Source organism: Homo sapiens, chromosome 11 (genome assembly GCF_000001405.40).
Source record: "Homo sapiens chromosome 11, GRCh38.p14 Primary Assembly".
NCBI classification, from domain to species: domain Eukaryota; kingdom Metazoa; phylum Chordata; class Mammalia; order Primates; family Hominidae; genus Homo; species Homo sapiens.
The window spans coordinates 64,691,237-64,710,420 of record NC_000011.10 but is presented as its reverse complement, the minus strand read 5'-3'; the positions used below and the strand labels follow the sequence as shown (position 1 = coordinate 64,710,420).

The following is a 19,184-nucleotide window of genomic DNA, read 5'->3' as shown; positions in this document are numbered from 1 at the left end:
CTGAATACGGGTTGTGTGGTTGTGTGTCTAAGATGTGTTTGAGTAACTGTGTGAGAGGGATGGCTGTGTGTATAATATGGCTTGGTATCAGATGAATGTTTGTGTCAGCTGTGGTGAAGCTGTGAGAGATGGTTGAATATATGTATCTGACCCATTGTGTGTGTGTGTGTCTGTGTGTGTGTGAGAGAGAGTCATGTAAGAAAAAGAAACGTGAGCCAGGTGCAGTGGCTCACGCCTGTAATCCCAGCACTTTGGGAGGCTGAAGCGGGCAGATTACTTGAGGTCGGGAGTTCGAGACCAGCCTGGCCAACATGGTAAAACCCCGTCTCTACTAAAAATACAAAAATCAGCCAGGCATGGTGGCGGGCACTTGTAATCCCCACTGCTTGGGAAGCTGAGGCAGGAGAATTGCTTGAACCTGGGAGGTGTAGGTTGCAGTGAGCTGAGATGGCACCACTGCACTCCAGCCTGGGTGACAAAGTGAGACTCCATCTCAAAAAAAAAAAAAAAAAGGAAGAAGAAAAGGGAAAGTGAGATATAAGGCGGGCGCCAGCTGGTAGGGGCAGGGTTGCTTGTGTATATGTGGAGTGTGTGTGATGTGTGTGTGGTATCTGTTGAGAGAGCAGTGCTTTGTGGTAAAGGGGGAGGGTTGTGTCTTTATTCATTTCTGTATTCCCAGCACCTAATCTGGTACCAGGCACTTAGTGGGTGTTTGATAAAGATTTGTGGAATGAATGGAGAGATATTAATAAGTAATTGAGAGAATAAAGGCTTGAGGCAAAGCTGTATGTACATATGAAAACATGTATGTATATATTTTCAGATATATGTTGTGGGTGGGCATGGGGGTTGTAGGCACTGATTGCATCTGGAGATGACAGGCACAGCAATAACCCTACTGATTCCCTTCTTTTCTCTCCCCACTCTGCAACCTCATTTCTTCTTCTATTTGTTCCTTATTTCCTAGGTAGCTTTTATAATATCTTGTGCTCATTATACTTCGAGTACTTTCTCATCCAGTCAAGGAGGAAAGGCATGGGCTCCCATGGTTGGGTATTGGGGTGAGGAAGGAAGACTTTAAGGGGAGCAGGCCTGGCTCCTGCTCTCTGACACAACTCTAGGGGTCAGAATCCCCAGGCTTCCTTGGAGTTATAATCACTTTATCATCTGTTGTGAATGGTTCCCAACTCTTTCTGAGACTGAGGACTTTTTTTTTTTTTTTTTTTTTTTGAGATGGAGTCTCGCTCTGTGCCTAGGCTGGAGTGCGATGGCACGATCTCAGCTCACTGCAATCTCCACCTCCTGGGCTCAAGCGATTCTCCTGCCTCAGCCTCCTGAGTAGCTGGGATTACAGGCGCCCGCCACTATGTCCAGCTAATTTTTGTATTTTTAGTAGAGACGGGTTTTCACCATGTTGGTCAGGCTGGTCTCGAACTCCCGGCCTCAAGTGATCCGCCCGCATTGGCCTCTCAAAGTGCTGGGATTACAGGTGTGAGCCACTGCGCCTGGCCAACTGAGGACATTTTTAAAAGTCAGTAATTCACAGTACCCCTTCCAGTTATTATTTTTATATCTGTTTAGTGTGAGTATAAATGACTCAAAGCCACTGTGAATTTGGAAAAGCTTTTAGATGACTTTGATATTATATTTGCCATTGTGGTTAATAAAATATACATTAGAAAAATGGTTTTAGCTTTATATGCAAGATGTTTCAATCTGCCTTCAGATGTTTGGTGTGCATACGAATTTGTGTATCCTTTGGAATCCCTCCTGCTCTCCCAGGGTCTGGGCTTACTCATTGACGGAGAACCTCCATGCTAGGAAATTTGCATTTTCTCTCTCTCTCTCAGAGATCTGGCCACACGTAATTGAAGACAGAGCTCAGTGGGAGTGGCTGAGTCTGTCTACCGTTGCTGATTATCTGCCAAAGCTGGGATAGAGTAGACTGGGATCTTGCAGTGGTTTGCATGACAGTGCTTCCTCATGTCACCTGTGTGTGTGGAGAAGGGGCTAAAAAGGGATTAAAGAAGAAGGGATGTGCAGGCATGTGTGTGAGACCTCAGGTGGAGTGATGATGCAGGTGTTCAGGACAGAGTGTCAGGTGTATACTATTTGCTCAGGAGAAAAATAGGAAACTAGTCGTAATGTGTGTGCTTGCAGGGAGGTAGACACACGTGTCTCATGTGTTTTGTGATAGTGATTTAATTCAACAGGTAGTTGCCAAGGCCTCTTTTGTGCTAGGCTGTGTGTTGGGGGCTACAGTGTGGTCAGAGATGAATAAGATGACTCTGTGCTCTGGGAGTTGACTTTTTTTTTTTTTTTGAGACGGAGTTTCGCTCCTGTTGCCCAGGCTGGAGTGCAATGGCACAATCTTGGCTCACCACAACCTCTGCCTTCCGGGTTCAAGCAAAGTGATTCTCCTGCCTCAGCCTCCATAGTAGCTGGGATTATAGGCATGCACCACCACGCCTGGCTAATTTTGTATTTTTAGTAGAGATGGGGTTTCTCCATGTTGGTCAGGCTGGTCTTGAACTCCTGACCTCAGGTGATCCGCCTGCCTTGGCCTCCCAAAGTGTTGGGATTACAGGTGTAAGCCACCACACCCAGTCTGGGAGTTGACTATTAAATTGAGGAAGCAGATAAAAAAGCTGTCCAGTGTGTTGTTAAGAGATTCTGCCTCCAGACTGCCCAGGCAGTGACTTTATACTTAAACTCTCTTTGCCCCCATTTCCTTATCTATAAATGAAGATAATAATGGTACCTACTTTATAGAGTTGTTGTGAAAATTAAATTAGCTAGTTCATGTAAAGTGCTTAGAACAGTGCCTGGTACATAGAAAATGCTCAATACATAGTAGCAAAAAAACAGCACAATAGTGTGTGGCCCAGAGATGCAGTAAAGCAGTGTGGCTTAGTGATTAAACCACAGACTTCTGTGGCTCTGGTCTGGGTTTAAATCTGTCTTCTCTACTCCCTAGGCCCATGACATTAGGTGAGTACCTAACCTTTAGACTCATTTTTCTTTTTTTTTTTTTTTGAGACGGAGTCTCGCTGTCTCCAAGGCTGGAGTACAGTGGCGTGATCTTGCCTCACTGCAAGCTCTGCCTCCCGGGTTCACGCCATTCTCCTGCCTCGTCCTCCTGAGTAGCTGGGACTACAGGCGCCCGCCACCACACCTGGCTAATGTATTTTTAGTAGAGACGGGGTTTCACCATGTTAGCCAGGATGGTCTCGATCTCCTGACCTCGTGATCCACCCACCTCATGATCCGCCCACCTTGGCCTCCCAAAGTGCTGGGATTACAGGTGTGAGCCACCGCACCTGACCCATTTTTCTTTATGTATAAAATGGTGATACATGGCTGGGCACTTGAACCCAGGAGGTGGAGGTCGCAGTGAGCTGAGATCGCGCCACTGCACTCCAACCTGGCTGACACAGCAAGACTCTGTCTCAAAAAAAAAAAAAAAAATGGGGATACACATGCTTATCTCATAGGTTTGTTGTAAGAATTAAATTAGCATCTGCTGTATAAAATTAGTGATGAGTAAATGGTAGTTACTCTTACAAGCAAAGTGCAGGGGAGAGTTTCCAAGTTGAGGGGATCAGTAATAGGTTTATGAAAGGCATGCTGTTTACAATTGGCCTCGAACATTGATTAATAAACTTGGTTGGGGGAAGTCGTTTGAAGCAAAGGAGCTGATATGAGCAAAGGCATGGACACAGGGAAATGTACATCATATCTGTAGAGGGCACCAAGGGGTATAGGGAGAATAGTAGAACCTAAAGCAGGAGAAGCAGGTTGAGGCCAGGTCTTGATGATCTGGCTTAAATTATTTAACTCACATTGAATGCTAACTGGGTACAGTGTATTGGCAAATGGAGCCACAAAAGAATTTTGGGGAGGGAAATGGATAAGATGAGTTCATGTCCTTTGTAGGGACATGGATGAAGCTGGAAACCATCATTCTCAGCAAACTATCGCAAGGACAAAAAACCAAACACCGCATGTTCTCACTCATAGGTGGGAATTGAACAATGAGAACACTTGGACACAGGAAGGGGAACATCACACACCGGGGCCTGTTGTGGGGTGGGGGGAGTGGGGAGGGATAGCATTAGGAGATATACCTAATGTAAGTGACGAGTTATTTGGGTGCAGCACACCAGCATGGCACATGTATACATATGTAACTAACCTGCACATTGTGCACATGTACCCTAAAACTTAAAGTATAATTTTATATATATATTATATATATTATATATATATACTTTATATATATAATATATATTATATATATTATATATATATACTTTATATATATAATATATATTATATATATTATATATATATATAAAAGTGCTGTACTTAGGGAGCTGGGAGTGAAGTGCAGAGGGATTATAGAGTTATGTAGTGAAGAAATCAATTGGGAGATAGGTCACACAAGAGATATTGAGGCCCTGAGCCTTGGTTGTCTTGGGGAGTGGCAAGGAAGGGTAGTGGCAGTTGTGGTGGCAGTGATTGAAGGCCATTGCTGAGCCTGAAACTGTAGGATTCTTCCTCTTGGATGTGGAGTGGGAGGAGAGGGGTCAGAGATGATGAAGTTTCAGGTCTGCACGGTTGGAAGTTTGGTGGAGGGGTGAGAGGAGAGGGGAATGCCAGGAAGGGGAGCAGGCTTGGCACAATAGATCATGCTTGTGTTAAGTGGTGGTGCCTCTTGACATTCCAGGTGATTGGGAATGTGAGACCAGAGCTTTGAGTTGAAGCTGGGGCTGCAGATGGAGCTGTGTGTGTGTAGAGATAGTATTTGAAGCTCTGAGATCAGATGAAGTGGCCAAGGAGAAGGTGAGAAAAATTGAGCACAAGACTTCAGAGGGGCAGACAGCTGGGAGGAGGAGGAAGAGCAGTAGTGGCCGCAGACCCAGCAAAGGAGCAATTGGAACACAGAGAATTGGATCACAAGGTCGGGGGAGGAGAGAGGGGGGACTCGCAGCTATTGAGCATTTGCTGGGTGTCTTCGATGTTTTATCCCATTTAGTCCTCATGATCACCACATGAGAATAACTTTCTCCATTTTACAGAGGGTCAAAGAGAGGCTCAGAGATGTAAGAGCTGGGATCTGAGCCCTGAGCTGACTCAAGAGCCTGTTGCTCCCTACCTGTCTCCATGCTGCCTCCTGAAAGGAGAGCTGGTCAGTTGGTCTATTGATTACCTGCATTTGGTTTATTTGGGCTATTTAGGGACAAGGTTTTATCAGAAACCAGTAACTACCCTAAATTCCTTGGGCCACACCTTCTCCCTTAAGCTAGTGTGTGCTGAGGGTGTTCCTGTGTTTGTGGGTCAGCTGTCCCAGCACAGAGAAAGGTCGATGGAGATAGATCAGGAAAATCTCAGTTTTCCAAGTCCTTGGAGAGGAACCCATCCCAGAGAGCAGGGCATTATCCTATTAAAACACACAACTAACCCACATTTAACACATTTTAGATGGAAATCTCTTCACAATGTGTTACACACCTCTCTGCCTCCCTAAGCATAATAGCTGGAACTTGATTTAACTTTTTTCAGATGACTCAAGGTGGTCGTGATTCCCCTCAGGTATTATGCCAAACTGTCATGCAGTGGTTCTTTCACTGAGGTTTGTCCCTGCCTGAGATGATGCCTGACTGCTGTACTTCTGAATTCTTATATTAGCTTTTTCTAGTTTTTCTGTCTCCACCCGTAGGAGGAGCTGTCAGGTAGCAACTGACATCTCTCTCTCTCTCTCTCTCTCTCTCTCTCTCTCTCTCTCTCTCTCTCTGTGTGTGTGTGTGTGTGTGTGTGTGAACCTGGAAATCAGCATTCCTAAGTTAGGAATTGCTGTTAGAATTGTGTGTCACTAACAGTAGGTGGACTCTGGCTAGGGCCTGAGAGGTCCTATGAGAAAATGACAGTTCTTTTTTTTCGTTTTTGTAGAAGTAGCTTTATTAAGGATGCAGTTTTACAGCTCCATGACTCCTATAGAGCAAGGCTACCTTCTAGGCAGTGTGTGTAGAGTAGCCAGAAAATAACAATTCTTAATTGCCCGGGTGTTAGATGCATGTTTTGGCTGTTTAGAGTCTTTTCTTTTCCCTTTTGTTCTGGTCTTCATCACTGTCCTTGATCATCAATCTGCTGGAATCCTGACATGTTAGGCAAGACATACCATCTATGACACCATCTCTGTCTTCTGCTGGGGGAGTGAAGTCTTGTGTCTGAAAGTTAAGCAAATGAAATCACCTATGTTGGGTTATTCTGTCAGCTCTAACATCCAGTACCTGTGGTCCTGACAGTTTCTGTGAGTAGAAGTGGCTCCAGGTAGAATGGGACAGGCTTCTCTAGAGGGTGGTATAGACAGCAGTTGCTCTCAGACCCAGAGACAAGCTAGATGCCCCTACGTAAAGATGGCAAAATGGGTAAGAGCATAGGCTGCCATGGTTTGAACCTAGCTTTGCTACTTGTTAGCCGTGTGAACTTGGGCAGTTAACTTATCCACATTGTTCTTCAACGTCCTACTCTGTAAGATGGAAGTAATATCGTTGTAAGAACTAAGTGAATTAATATACGAAAATCCTTTACAATCCAGGCACTATTCTGAGTGATCAATAAATGGTACTATGGTTATTAGCTCTAGTGGTCAGGGAAGGCTTCAAGGAGGAGGTGGGACTTGGCCAGACCTTGAAGAAGGATGACTGAGTGTGAGTTATAGAGGTGGAAAGGAAAGGGCAGGGCTTTCCCACCAGGAGAGTAGCCTACATGAGGAATACAGGGGATGTGAATTGAGTGGGTCAGGACATGATGAAGAGACAAAGTTGGTTGTGTTTTATGGTAGATAAGATCAGAACCTTAGATTAGAATCAGTTTCTAGAAGTCTTGACTTCCAGGCTAAGCACGTAGCCCACTGGAAGTTTTCACCAGACAGATTTGGGTTCAAATTTTGACTGTCACTAACTAGCAGTGTGACCTTGGCCAAGTTACTCCTACTTTCTGAGTCTTGGTTTCTTCAGCTCTAAAAGGGAGTGATAGTAATATCCATTCACAATGTAGCAGTGGCGGGTAAAGGAACAATGGGCGTAAAGAGCCAGGCACACCCTAAGTGCTCAGTATATGCAAAGTGTTATTTTTATTATTCACTCAACAAACAGGAGAATGCCTTTTTTTCTGAGCCAGGAGCCATGTAAGCAGCTGGATATAGAGAGATGAATGAGGCATTGTCCTCACTTTTGGATATTTCACAGTCAAGTCAGGAAACAGACATGTTAACACAGATGCAATAGAGATTCAATAAGATAATTAATAATAGAATGTACATTTCTAGAGTTGGCACAAAAGAGGAAGGCTAGCTCTCCTTTGTTTAGAACAGAGACAAATGTGTATTGACCTGGATCTTTTTTTTTTAATTCTTTCTTTCTTTTTTTTTTTTTTTTTTTTTTTAGAGACCTGGGCTGAAGTGCAGTGGTGTGATCATAGCTCACTGTAACCTCAAACTCCTGGGCTCAAATGATCCTCTATTTCAACCTCCTGAGTAGCTGGGACTACAGGCGCACACCACCATGTCTGGCTAATTTATTTATTTTTCTTTTTTTTTTTTTCTAATTTTTTTTTTTTATTGATCATTCTTGGGTGTTTCTCGCAGAGGGGGATTTGGCAGGGTCACAGGACAATAGTGGAGGGAAGGTCAGCAGATAAACAAGTGAACAAAGGTCTCTGGTTTTCCTAGGCAGAGGACCCTGCGGCCTTCCGCAGTGTTTGTGTCCCTGGGTACTTGAGATTAGGGAGTGGTGATGACTCCCAAGGAGCATGCTGCCTTCAGGCATCTGTTTAACAAAGCACATCTTGCACCGCCCTTAATCCATTCAACCCTGAGTGGATACAGCACATGTTTCAGAGAGCACAGGGTTGGGGGTAAGGTCACCGATCAACAGGATCCCAAGGCAGAAGAATTTTTCTTAGTACAGAACAAAATGAAAAGTCTCCCATGTCTACCTCTTTCTACACAGACACGGCAACCATCCGATTTCTCAATCTTTTCCCCACCTTTCCCCCCTTTCTATTCTACAAAACCGCCATTGTCATCATGGCCCGTTCTCAATGAGCTGTTGGGTACACCTCCCAGACGGGTGGTGGCCGGGCAGAGGGGCTCCTCACTTCCCAGTAGGGGCGGCCGGGCAGAGGCGCCCCTCACCTCCCGGACGGGGCGGCTGGCCCGGCGGGGGGCTGACCCCTCCACCTCCCTCCCGGACGGGGCGGCTGGCCGGGTGGGGGGCTGACCCCCCCACCTACCTCCCGGACGGGCGGCTGGCCGGGCAGAGGGGCTCCTCACTTCCCAGTAGGGGCGGCAGGGCAGAGGCACCCCTCACCTCCCGGACGGGGCGGCTGGCCAGGCGGGGGGCTGACCCCCCCCACCTCCCTCCCGGACGGGGCAGCTGGCCGGGCGGGGGGCTGACCCCCCCACCTCCCTCCTGGACGGGGCGGCTGGCCGGGCGGGGGGCTGACCCCCCCCACCTCCCTCCCGGACAGAGCGGCTGGCCGGGCAGAGGGGCTCCTCACTTCCCAGTAGGGGCGGCCGGGCAGAGGCGCCCCTCACCTGCCGGACGGGGCGGCTGGCCGGACGGGGGGCTGATCCCCCCACTTCCCCCCCGGACGGGGCTTATTTATTTCTTTTTTTTAGGCAAAGTCTTCTCCGTCGTCCAGGCTGGAGTGCAGTGGTGTCATCATGGCTCACTGCAGCCTTGACCACCCAGGCTCAAGTGATTCTCCCACCTCAGTCTCCCAAGTAGCTGGGAGTACTGACACGAGCCATTACATCTGGCTAATTTTTGCGTTTGTTTGTAGAGACGGGTCTCCCTATGTTGCCCAGGCTGGTCTCAAACTCCTGGGCTCAAGTGATCCTCCCACCGTGGCTTCCCAAAGTGCTGGGATTATAGGCGCGAACCATTGTAGCTAGCCCTTGACTTGGGTCTTAAAGAAAGAGTAGATTTTCTTAGCCAGCTGTAGGTGAAGAGTATTTCAAGCACAAGAAATATTATGTGCAGAAACATAGCATATTATAGAAACAGGAAGAAGTTGGGGTGGCTGCAGCCTGGATTGTCGCAGGAAAAGAGGTTAGAGGAAGAAACAGTCAAATTTCGGATGGGATTTTCTGAGAAGATTCGACTTTAACCTACAGGCACTGAAAAGCTTTGAAGAGTTTTCAGCAGGGTCGTAACATGGTTGGAGTGGACCACTTTGTTGTGCTGCGGTGTATGAATTTCAGGGTGAAAAGAGTGGCGGTAGAGGGCATCATCTCCTAGGCTTATTAATGTTCCAAGGAGAGGGACTGATCAGGGCCTGGCCTCACCAGGGCCTGGCCTGGGCGGTGCCGGTGGAAATGGAGGGATGATAAGGATTTCTAGGAGTTTAGTTTTGTTTTTAGGGTTTTAGAAGGTGGAACCAGTAGGACCCGGTGATTGGCCTGACAAAAGGAGCAGGTGCTTTCTGGGTGCCTAACTTGATCAGGGAATTTGGTGGGGTGAGGAGAGGGTTATGAGGCCCACCCTAGACATATTGAATGTGAGAAGCCCATGAGACACTCAGAGACAGCGGCTCTAAAGACAGATGGGTACATAGGTCAAGAGCACAGGAGAGAGGTTTGTATCAGAAACACTGAAAGGTTCTCATCACAGCGGTATTTAGTAAGGCGTATCTGTTACCTCTGCCAAGAGGGTCAGGCTGGGGATGGGTAGGGAGACTGACCAAGAGGAAGCTATTGCAGGAAACCAGGCACAAGGAGTGAGGCCAGAGGCTACGATGACCTAGGATTGCAGTGGAGAAGGGCAAAAGTGATTCTGTGCTCCTGGGTGTGTTTTCTTCTCTGTACAGAGTCGATAGATAACACCGAGCTCTGTGTTGCAGTGAGGCTGATGTGTGATATTGCATGTGAGGGTCAGTACGGTGCCCAGCACATGGCTAACTAATGGAATCTCTGGAACCTATGAGGGCAGTGTGGGGCATGTAGTGGGAGCTCAGGCAGCACTGGTTGAAAGCAGGGGCTTTGCTAAGCACAGGGGAATAAGCACTTGGTTGTAGGAGTGGAGGTGTCGAGAATGGCTTCAGTGGTGGAGTTTAGATGTCAGAGAGTTGGACGAGCAATTGCACTGCTGGGTGGACACATGGTGATACAGGACTGGTACTCAGGGAGGAGGCCGGGACTACCCATGGTTTGGGAGTCTCTGAGCACGAAAATGAGCCATCACTGAGGAGAGCGAGGAGAAGTAAGAGGAATGTGGAGGGCAGGGGCCAACCCTGAAGGGGACTGAGGTGGCAGGTGAGGGGCATAGGTGAATCAGCAGAAAGCAAAGAGCAGCAGAGGAAGAGAGATATGTGAGTTTCTAGGTGCTGTCTCTCAAAAGCCAGAAACAAACCAAGCCTGGTTGTTTCACCTTCCTGAGCATAGCATGACGTACATTTCTGGCAGGTGGAAATACTTTTTGAAATACCTACCATGTTGGATTATCTAGAAATCACCATGCCTCCTTATTTGCACAGGTGCTGGTGAGACAATTGTGCTGACTGACCAGGGTCTTAGCATACTGGGACCAAAGAAATCCTGGCACAGCAGTCTTCACGAGAGCCAAAGGGTTTCCTGAGGGCCCCTTTATTAGCCAGCTCCCCCCATAAATGAAATGTGATTCAGTTTACTTAAGAAAACTATTGCTGGGCACTGTGGCTCATGCCTGTAATCCCAGCACTTTGGGAGGCCGAGGCGGGCAGATCACCTGAGGTTGGGAGTTCGAGACTAGCCTGACTAACATGGAGAAACCCCATCTCTACTGAAAATACAAAAAGTAGCCGGGTGTGGTAGCGCATGCCGGAGGCTGAGGCAGGAGAATCACTTGAACCCGGGAGGTGGAGGTTGCGGTGAGCTGAGATCGCACCATTTCACTCCAGCCTGGGCAACAAGAGCAAGACTCCATCTCAAAAAAAAAAAAAAAAAAAAAAGAAAACTATTAGACATGTATCTTTTAGGTGATGCAGCTGTCAGGTAGAAGCAGCTCTGTGTTGTAGAGGAGTGTGTTTGTAACACATGTTGACATGGAAAGACTGTGTATGTAGGTTTAGGAAATGGGAGATAAAGAGCTGTGTTCATCGCTGGCTGTATGGCTTTAGCCACTGGAGTCACTGTGGGGTGGTGGTGTGTGTGTCTAGTGTTATGTAGTAGATTACTGTGTAGGTATTGGTGCTTGCATTCAGCCTGTGTATGTGCGTGGATTATGGGAGTGGTATAAGGTATGACAAATGACTATGTTTGTTTTCAGAGTATAGCTACCTCTCTATGAGCGAATGAACAGATATCACCAAATGGGGTTGGAGGTAGGAGGAGATAATGTGTGCATGCGTGAGTGTGAACTGGATAGCTGTGTGTACATAAGTGTGTATCCTGGGGCCTGCATATGCAAGTATGTGTTTCCCCACTGGGTTTGTGTGTTTGTAGATTGTGCTGTTTTCCCCCTCCTGCCTATTGCTTCATCTAAAGGCTCCCAGGAGGTGGGCACATGGCAAATGTTTGGAGCTGGGGGCACCTCCATCCTCTTACAAAGAAGATCAGAGCCCAACCTGCTTGAGGAGTTGTAGCTTAGTTGAAGGAATTGTCTCCATCTTCTCGTTGTTCCATCTTCTCCCTTGACCCATTTGGTGAGCTCCAAGGCCAGATCCAGGCAGGGCCCTAATAGGTGAGGTCTGCCTATCCAAAGGATGTGGCATGGTCTAGGTCTGGGCCCAGTGTGGCCCACTGAATTTGGACTCTCTTCCCCCACTGGCATGGCCATCCAGCCTGGGGGCCCTTGGCCTCATCCAGATGTTAAGAAGACATTTGTCCTAGAATCAGAATCAGAGTCAGAAGAGGCCTCAGAAACTATCCAGTCCACCCCTCTCATTTTGCAGAAGAGGCAGTAGGGACTCAGAGAGGTTAAGTGAATAGGATGAAAGTCACACAGTGCTGTGTGGCAGAATCATGTTTGTTCTCTCTGTGTCTTGATGTCTTTTCACCCCTGGGAGGGTCAGGGGCCGTAGGTGGTTGGGTCCTGTGTGCAGGGGCTTTATATGTGAATTGTGTGAGACAGTGTGTGTCACTGGATTGCTAAGTGCCTATGTGTGTCAGTGTGTCACTGAGCATGAGTGTGTCTCTAGTGAACCCTGTGAGACAATTAGTGGTGTGAGTGTGTCCCCATCTGTCTGTGAGATGCAATGGAATGCAGGGTAGGAGCCTCTCTGGGGAAGTTGAGAAGCCTGACTGCCACTCCTGGCCCTGCCTCAGATTCTCTGTGTGACCTTGAGTGGTTACTTCCCTGTCCTGGGCCTCGGTTTCCTGAAATGTTACTTGAGGGTTGGGTGTGATGGGTACTGGCTGACTGTGTGTGAGGTTCTGACTCAGGGAGCAGCTCTGTGTCTGCCTCATCCCCAACATAGCTGTTTCTTGAGATTTGGGCCTTCCACATTGGGTGACTCATGTCAGGGCCTGGGTGGGCTTGGACTCCTCTCTCCCCTTGGAGCCCCTGTCCGTGGTACCTTTGCTAACAGCCCTCCTTTTTCTTCTCTCTCTGCCTCCGTCTTCTCCGAACCTCGCTGGCTGCAGAGGAGCACCCCATGGAAGGTGAGTGAAGCCTCTCTGTCACTGGGGTAGTGGATCTGTTGCCATGGGGATCCTACATGAGGGACTGTCGTTGGCTACCCAAGGACTCCCTTTCCTGCCATGTTTAGGGCCTCTCCGGAGAAGGATGTCTGGGGTCCTCCCTTGGCTGCCTTGCCCCACTCTCTTGCGTCCCCTCTTCATGAGTTTCGGGGGAGCTGCTGACTGGCCTTTCTTCTTCCTTTCCCTCTCCACGCTGGAGAGGGAAAGGGAAACTTAGGGAAGAGATGAGCGGTGGGGGTGGAGGGATGGGGCTGACAGGATTCCGAAGTGCCCAGAAGTGAGTGGGTAGACAACGTTTAGCCCAGCCTAAGTTAGGAAGCTTAGAAAGGCAATTTTCCAGATGCTGGGGCAGGCTGGGGTGGGCTGTTGCCCCAGAAACCTGTGCTTGGGGAAAATCTGCCCTGGAATCTGGTGCCACTGTGCAGGGCTCAGGGGACTGGAGGGTGGTGGAGTGCACTGGCAGAGTAGGGGGTTGGAGGTGTATAGTGGGAGCAGCTTCTCTGCCCCACTGTGACCAGCACTTGCCACTTGCGGCAGGCCCCTAGCTGCTGCCCCACAGGTTGCTAGGTAGGGGTGGGCTGCTTCTTCCTTCATCCAGGTCGGAGGGCAAGGGTGGGGTGTGTGCCTCTCTCTCAGGTCTCTCTGTATGTTCTTTCTTTATCTCCTGTTTTGTTGGCCTCTTCTCCCTCTCCAGTTTCTGTCTTTACCTCCTTTTCTCCAAGACTCTGTCCCTGGACCATGTGTCTCTCCTTCCCCAGGCTCTCTCTGGGTTTCTGTCATTCTCTGAATCTTTCTCTTGCAATTTGGCTTTCCCTGTTTCTTCTCCTCCTCTGGGATGGACTGAGAGCAGGAAGAAGGTAGTCCTGGCTTGAAGGCTGTGTTGAAGATGAGCTCACATAGCTACCATGAAGAAGGCAGCAGAGCAGGCATGAGGTGGCATCCCAGTCCCTTCTCCTGGGAAGGTGGAGTGGGAGGGCAAGGGCGTCCCTGGGGAGGAGGAGAGGAAAGTGCCAGGGATGCAGTAGTCCTGGGAAAGAAAGGCAGCAAGAGGCTCTTGGCCTGAGTGTGGGGCTGGAACCCATTTTTCCTCGTGATGTCCATGGTCTGACTTGTCTCTCTTGGATGTCTCTTTTCCCTGGGGGTCCTCAGGTCCCCAGGGCCCAGCAGGCAGGTGTGTGTGTGTGTGTGTGTGTGTGTGTGTGTGTGTATGTATGTATGTGTGGGTATGTATGTCTGCATACACATACATTTATACAACTCTGCTGGTCTGTGTGTCTGTGTGCACGCCTGAGGATATATGCTGTGTACACGTAACATGGTTTTGTGTCTGAGTGCATGGGTGTGCTGTGCGCCTCCATCGATGCATATGTGGTGTGGCCCACATTTCTGTATGCCTATGTAGAGCATCAGCATCTTTGTGTGTCTGCATCTGTGTTTGCATCTCCGTGTGTCAGTGTTTACCTCTGCGTGTGTGTCACAGAGAGAGTCTGCGTGTCTGGGTGGACGCAGCCTTCTGAGGGCTGGAGATAAGATTTAGTGTTGATGTGACTTTTACTTGCTCTTGATGTCATGTCTCCTCCGGAACAAAGGGTGAGATGGAGGGAGGAAGAGAGAAAGGGAAAAAAGGGTGGAGGAGAGAAAAAAGGAGGGAGCAGAGAGATGGAGGAAGGAGAGGGGGTAAGTGAAGGGTGGGAAGAGAAAGACTCAAGCCTCAAGCTGTAGGGGGTGGGGCAGGAACGGGGAACAGCTTGGCCAAAAGAAGAAAGGCAGGGGGGCACTTGGGAAGAAGGAGTCTGGTGGGAGTAGGGAAGAGGAAAGGGGCTGATAGACAGGAACAAGAAGGGAAGCTGGGCTTTGGGGACCCATGGGGAAGGAGGCCTGTGGACGCCACCTCGCCATTTCTTTGGGTGGCATGGTGGTCTGCTGGTTTAGATGTGGCACTGTGGATGCCTGCATGTCAGTGGCTGTGCAGGGCTGTGTATTGGAGGCTGTGTGTGTGTGTGTGCGCGTGTGTGTATACACACCTAGGAGTCTGACACATCTCTGTGTCACTCTGAGACATGTCTGTGTGCCTGCTTGTGTGTCTCTTAATTTGGTCACCTATCACCATCTTTATTTCGATGGTGGTTCTCTCTGGGGTTTCAGTAGGAGAGTTAGGGGATGAGACTGAAGATGGGGAGGTGGGTTTAGCAGGTGGTGGTTCCACGTGGCTGGGCTGGCGGCCTCCTCTGTGGCACTGTGCTCTGGACCCTGCAGCCCTCCTTATATCTCTAAGGAGTCCTCTGTACCTTCGCCTTCTTCCCACTTGACACTGTGCCTGAGGCCTAGCTTTCTCCAGGAACCCCAAGATCCTGCTCTGCACCCCTGCCGAACACCTCCTTTTTCCTCCCAGCCTCTAGTGGCAGGGCAAAGAGACCCAGAAGTAGCCAGATAAAGTGCCCTAGGAAGGGACCCATGGCAATGCCATCCATCATTGCCAGTCTCTTTTCCAGCAGTGGGAGGAGGGGCTGATGCCACAGGTGGATGTGGGGAAGTGAATACCCCAGTGGGGCTGGGGGCCAGGAGGAGGGAGCAGAGATTTCAGATTAGTGGGGAGACAGACTTTAGGGAGAAAACCCTGGGGCCAGCTGGGACTGAGCCAGGGGTAGACAGGAAGGGAACCAGCCTCCCCTTCACCAAGATGGCTGGTGCTGTCACGCCTGAGGGAGCTGAGCAGCTGGTTGCCGTGGTGACAGAGGGAGACTGCCGAATGCTAACGAGGCTGGCGAGGAGCTGGGCAGTGGAAGGGTCTGGGAGAGGGAGATGTGGCTTCCTCCAGCAGCAGTCAGGCCTGTGGGAGACAGAGGGTGGGTTCACAGGGCACCTGGCTCCTGGGCTGGGGGTGGGCAGAGACCTGGATTCTCAAGGGTGGGATCCTGAGAGCAAGGCTGCTTCTGACCGGGAGAGTCGGATGTGGGTTGAGGGCTCTGGGTCTGGGTCCTGGGTTTAGGGGGTTTGGAAGGAGATGCTGGTAGTTTTTGGGGAAAGGGTTGGTGGCAGAGTAGGAGGGTATTCAGAGTAAGGAATGAGGAGACTCGGTTCAAATGCTTGGGTCCTTACCTGTGTGATGGATAAAAACCTACATCCTCCCAAGAGCTGTTCAGTCCTGAGGCTGCCCTCAGCGGCTGTGGCCTCCTCCTCCAAGTGGCCTCAGACTCAGAGGTGGGGAGAAACCAGTGCCACCCTAGAGACATGGGGCAAAGAGGGCAATGTGAACCATCTGCCACGGGGTCCAGGCCTTTGGCCCCTGGCCATGTCCTTCCTGTCCTCCTCACTGCCTTTCCTCTTAGAATCCAGGCATCCTGGCCCCCAGCTTCGTCTCAGAAATACTTGTAACTCTTTAACCTTGCTACTTCCATCCTGGCCCCAGCTTTCTATCCCTAGGGTTCACATCTCATTGCCACAGCAGTGGGGCTGGTTTCCAAGGGTGACAGTGGCACTGCAGGGCTGTTCCCCTTCCTACCCTCTTGGCCAGACACCACAGGGGAGTGAGTGGGGCTGGGGGGGCTCTGAGGTTTGGTGGAGCTGGCTGGCCATCTCAGGAAGCCCTGGGGTCTCAGCCCAGCTGTGGGGCCTGGTGCTGCCAGCCTCTCTAGGAGAGAGCTTTCCTTGGCTGGTGCCTGTTGGGGACAAGGGTACTGATCCAGTGGGCCAGATTCCTTCCCACTAAGGCTGGGGAGGGGTACTTTGGGTTAGGGCTGACAAGGCTGTCTCAAGGGGCCAGTGTAATCCTGGATGGAAATCCTAGCTGGTCTTCCTATCAGTCCATTTTCTATTTTCAAAATCCAGCTTTTGGGTCATTTGAGAGAGGTCCTGGTCAGAGAAAGGGGGTCTGTAATTTATGAATGATGTACTTGGACCTTTCAGAGAGCTGGGCTTCCTCCCATAGGGCTCGGCTGTCCTCTTTGGACCTTGCTGTCTGAGAGCTCTGACCCCAGTCTCTCAGTGTCTCTGTAGATTCTACCTTCTCCTACCTGCTTCCTCTCTAATTTTGTCCTCTTGAACCCCAGTTTCCTCTTAGAACCCAGGTGTGCAGGGTCCCTACTACCCCTACAGAGGTTATTGGGAAGGGTAGCTGGGAGGATTAGAACCCAACAGGTGTCCTTCCAAACCCCGCTTTAGTGGGGGATGCTTTTAGGCCCAGGTTCTTTATATCCCCCCATCTTTCCCCCTTTTCTACCAGCATCCTAGGGGTAACTGGGATTAGGGGTGTTGGGGGGTTGGAGGCCCCCTTGCCCGCTTAATCCCATGCTAACAGGACACTCTCTCTCTCTCCAGGTGGCTTTGATTTTTGTGTCGTGTTTTATTTTCTCCTCCATCTGAATCGTTTTTCTCGTTGACTGTTTTTTTTTCTCTCCGCCTCCCGGAAGAAAAAAAAAAAGAAAAAAAGAAAAAGGAAAAAGCAACCCTCCTAGCCTAATGCTTCTCCTCCTTTTCCTTTTTTTTTTTCCGGCAAGAAGAAAAAAAGAAACCAAAATCTCCTCTCCCCGCTGCAGTGCCCCCCGCCCCCTCCTTCCTCCAGTTCTGCCTGTACCCCTCTCACCCTCTCTGACGCCCCTAATCTCTCTTTCTCTCTTCCCCTGTTGTGCCCTCCACCCGCTGTTTCGGCATCGGGCCCCTCTCCTCAGCTCCTGGGCTGGGGCTCCCCCCGATGTCTGTCACAAGTTAAAAAAGGTTTTTAAATTGTGGCAGCAAAAGCTTTTTTCTCCCTTCTCTCTGGCTGATTTTGATGACTCGTGTTTTCTTTGTTTCTTTCCCCTTTTCTTTCTTTTTTCTTCTTCTTTTTTTCTTTCTTTCTTTCTCTCCTTCCCCTTTCCAAGGTCCGGCTCACCTGACGTTAAACAGCGAAGGTATGGTTTGAAGTTTTGGTTTGGTTTGGATTGGATTGCCCCCAACCTGCGCCTGGATTTTCTGTTCTTCTCCCTGTCCTTCCCCTGTCCCCTTCCCCTCCTCCACCTGTCCTGACACCTTCCTTCCTTTCCTACCCGCTTCCTTTGCCATTTCTTAATTTTATTTGGGGGGTGCTGGGGTGGGGGTGGGGGCTTGCCCTTGTCTGTGTGCTCCCCTCTCCCTCACCCACCCTGAAGCACTCCATCCACCCACATCTCACCTTGGTTTCTGACATCAAGAGATGTTTGAACTCCTGCCGTTGTCTCCAGTCACCCTTTTTTTGCGTTTTCCTGGTAGTGTATCTTGCTTTTTTTTCTTTCTCATGGTGGTGTTTGATTTCCTTCCACTCATTCTGATCATTCTTTCTTTTCTATGGACCTAAGTAACAAGAGAAAAGCATGGGCTGGAGAAAGAGGGTCTTAGGCAGTCTCATCACCCTCACCTTGCTACTGTGGGAGGCCCCCATCCATGACGAGAAGGGAAATGGGAGTAGAGGTGTAGGGTCTCTCCGTTTCCACAGTGTGCGCTCCCAACCCCCTGCCCACCCGCACGCCTTCACCCTTGTATCTTTTGAATGTCTCTTAACCCTGTTTGACAGATGACGACGTTGAGGACCAGAGAGATGAAATGACTTGTTAGTGATTCCACAACCCTTATTGGTGGTATGGTTGGGACTAGCCATTTAATTTTAGCACTCCTTTGACTAAGTGCCTACCATCTTTGAGAGCCCTGGTGTTAAGCAAACCTGGAGACAGAACTCAGGAGTCCTGTCTGAGCTCCTCCAGCTCTGGCCTCCTCTAGCCCTCTGCTGTCACTGATTCTCTCTGAGCTCAGGGTTTTGGCCTTTCAGACCCTTTGGCACTGTTGGACCTGCCCAATTCAGCCCTCTGTGGGGGGGTCATCTTACAGAGGAACAGAGTGGGGTCCTTAGCCGGTAGGCAGGACCAAGATTGGGCTGCAGGGAGAAACTCATATAGATATGAAATTTGGGATGGATTTAGGTCTGGGGAGGTAGAGGCCTTGGAGTCTTGCAGGGATGTGGAATTATGGCAAGAAGTGTGGGGAAAGAGGAAGTCCCAAATGGAGAGCTAGGAGTAGGAACCCTGGTTGGTTCACTCACATCCTTCTTGCCTCTCAGTGCCTGGTTCTATGGGTGCTGGCTGTGGCTCCCCTTTGTCATAAGTGAAGGCCCTCCCAAAGGATCTCAGAAAGCCCCCCTGGAAAGTTCCACAGCTCAAGTATTATTCTAGTTCAAGTTTGGGGATTTGCAACTGGGGTTGAAGTAAGAGCCCATTTAGAGACTTTTCCCCTTCATCACTGAGTTTTCTCATCCTGAAGCCATCCTGTGGATCTGGCAGTAGGGCTGGGTACCTGGAAGCCAGGTGCTGAGTATATAGGTTCACTGGAGCGGGGAGAGGTGGGGTGAAGATTCGAGCTGGCCTGGAACCCAGACATGGTAACATGTGCCCACCGGGGCATTTGGACTGAGGCCTAAGTGCTGCTGATGAGTGGGGTGGTAGGGAGTGAGAAATAACTCCTGAGAAAGGGCTTGCCCACATCCAGGCTGAGC

At 49.7% G+C, this 19,184-nt stretch overlaps 1 protein-coding gene across 7 annotated transcripts in view; it reads left to right on the top strand.

Moving 5' to 3' along the window:
• The window catches only part of NRXN2 (neurexin 2), a 117,024-nt gene that overhangs the window by 12,777 nt on the left and 85,063 nt on the right, over positions 1-19,184 (top strand). For all 7 annotated transcript variants that reach the window (NM_138732.3, NM_001376266.1, NM_001376265.1 and 4 more), the window contains exons 3-4: positions 12,629-12,646; positions 17,545-17,574. In NM_138732.3, coding sequence (NP_620060.1) covers positions 12,629-12,646; positions 17,545-17,574 — 48 coding nt within the window. The remainder of the gene's footprint in view (positions 1-12,628; positions 12,647-17,544; positions 17,575-19,184) is intronic.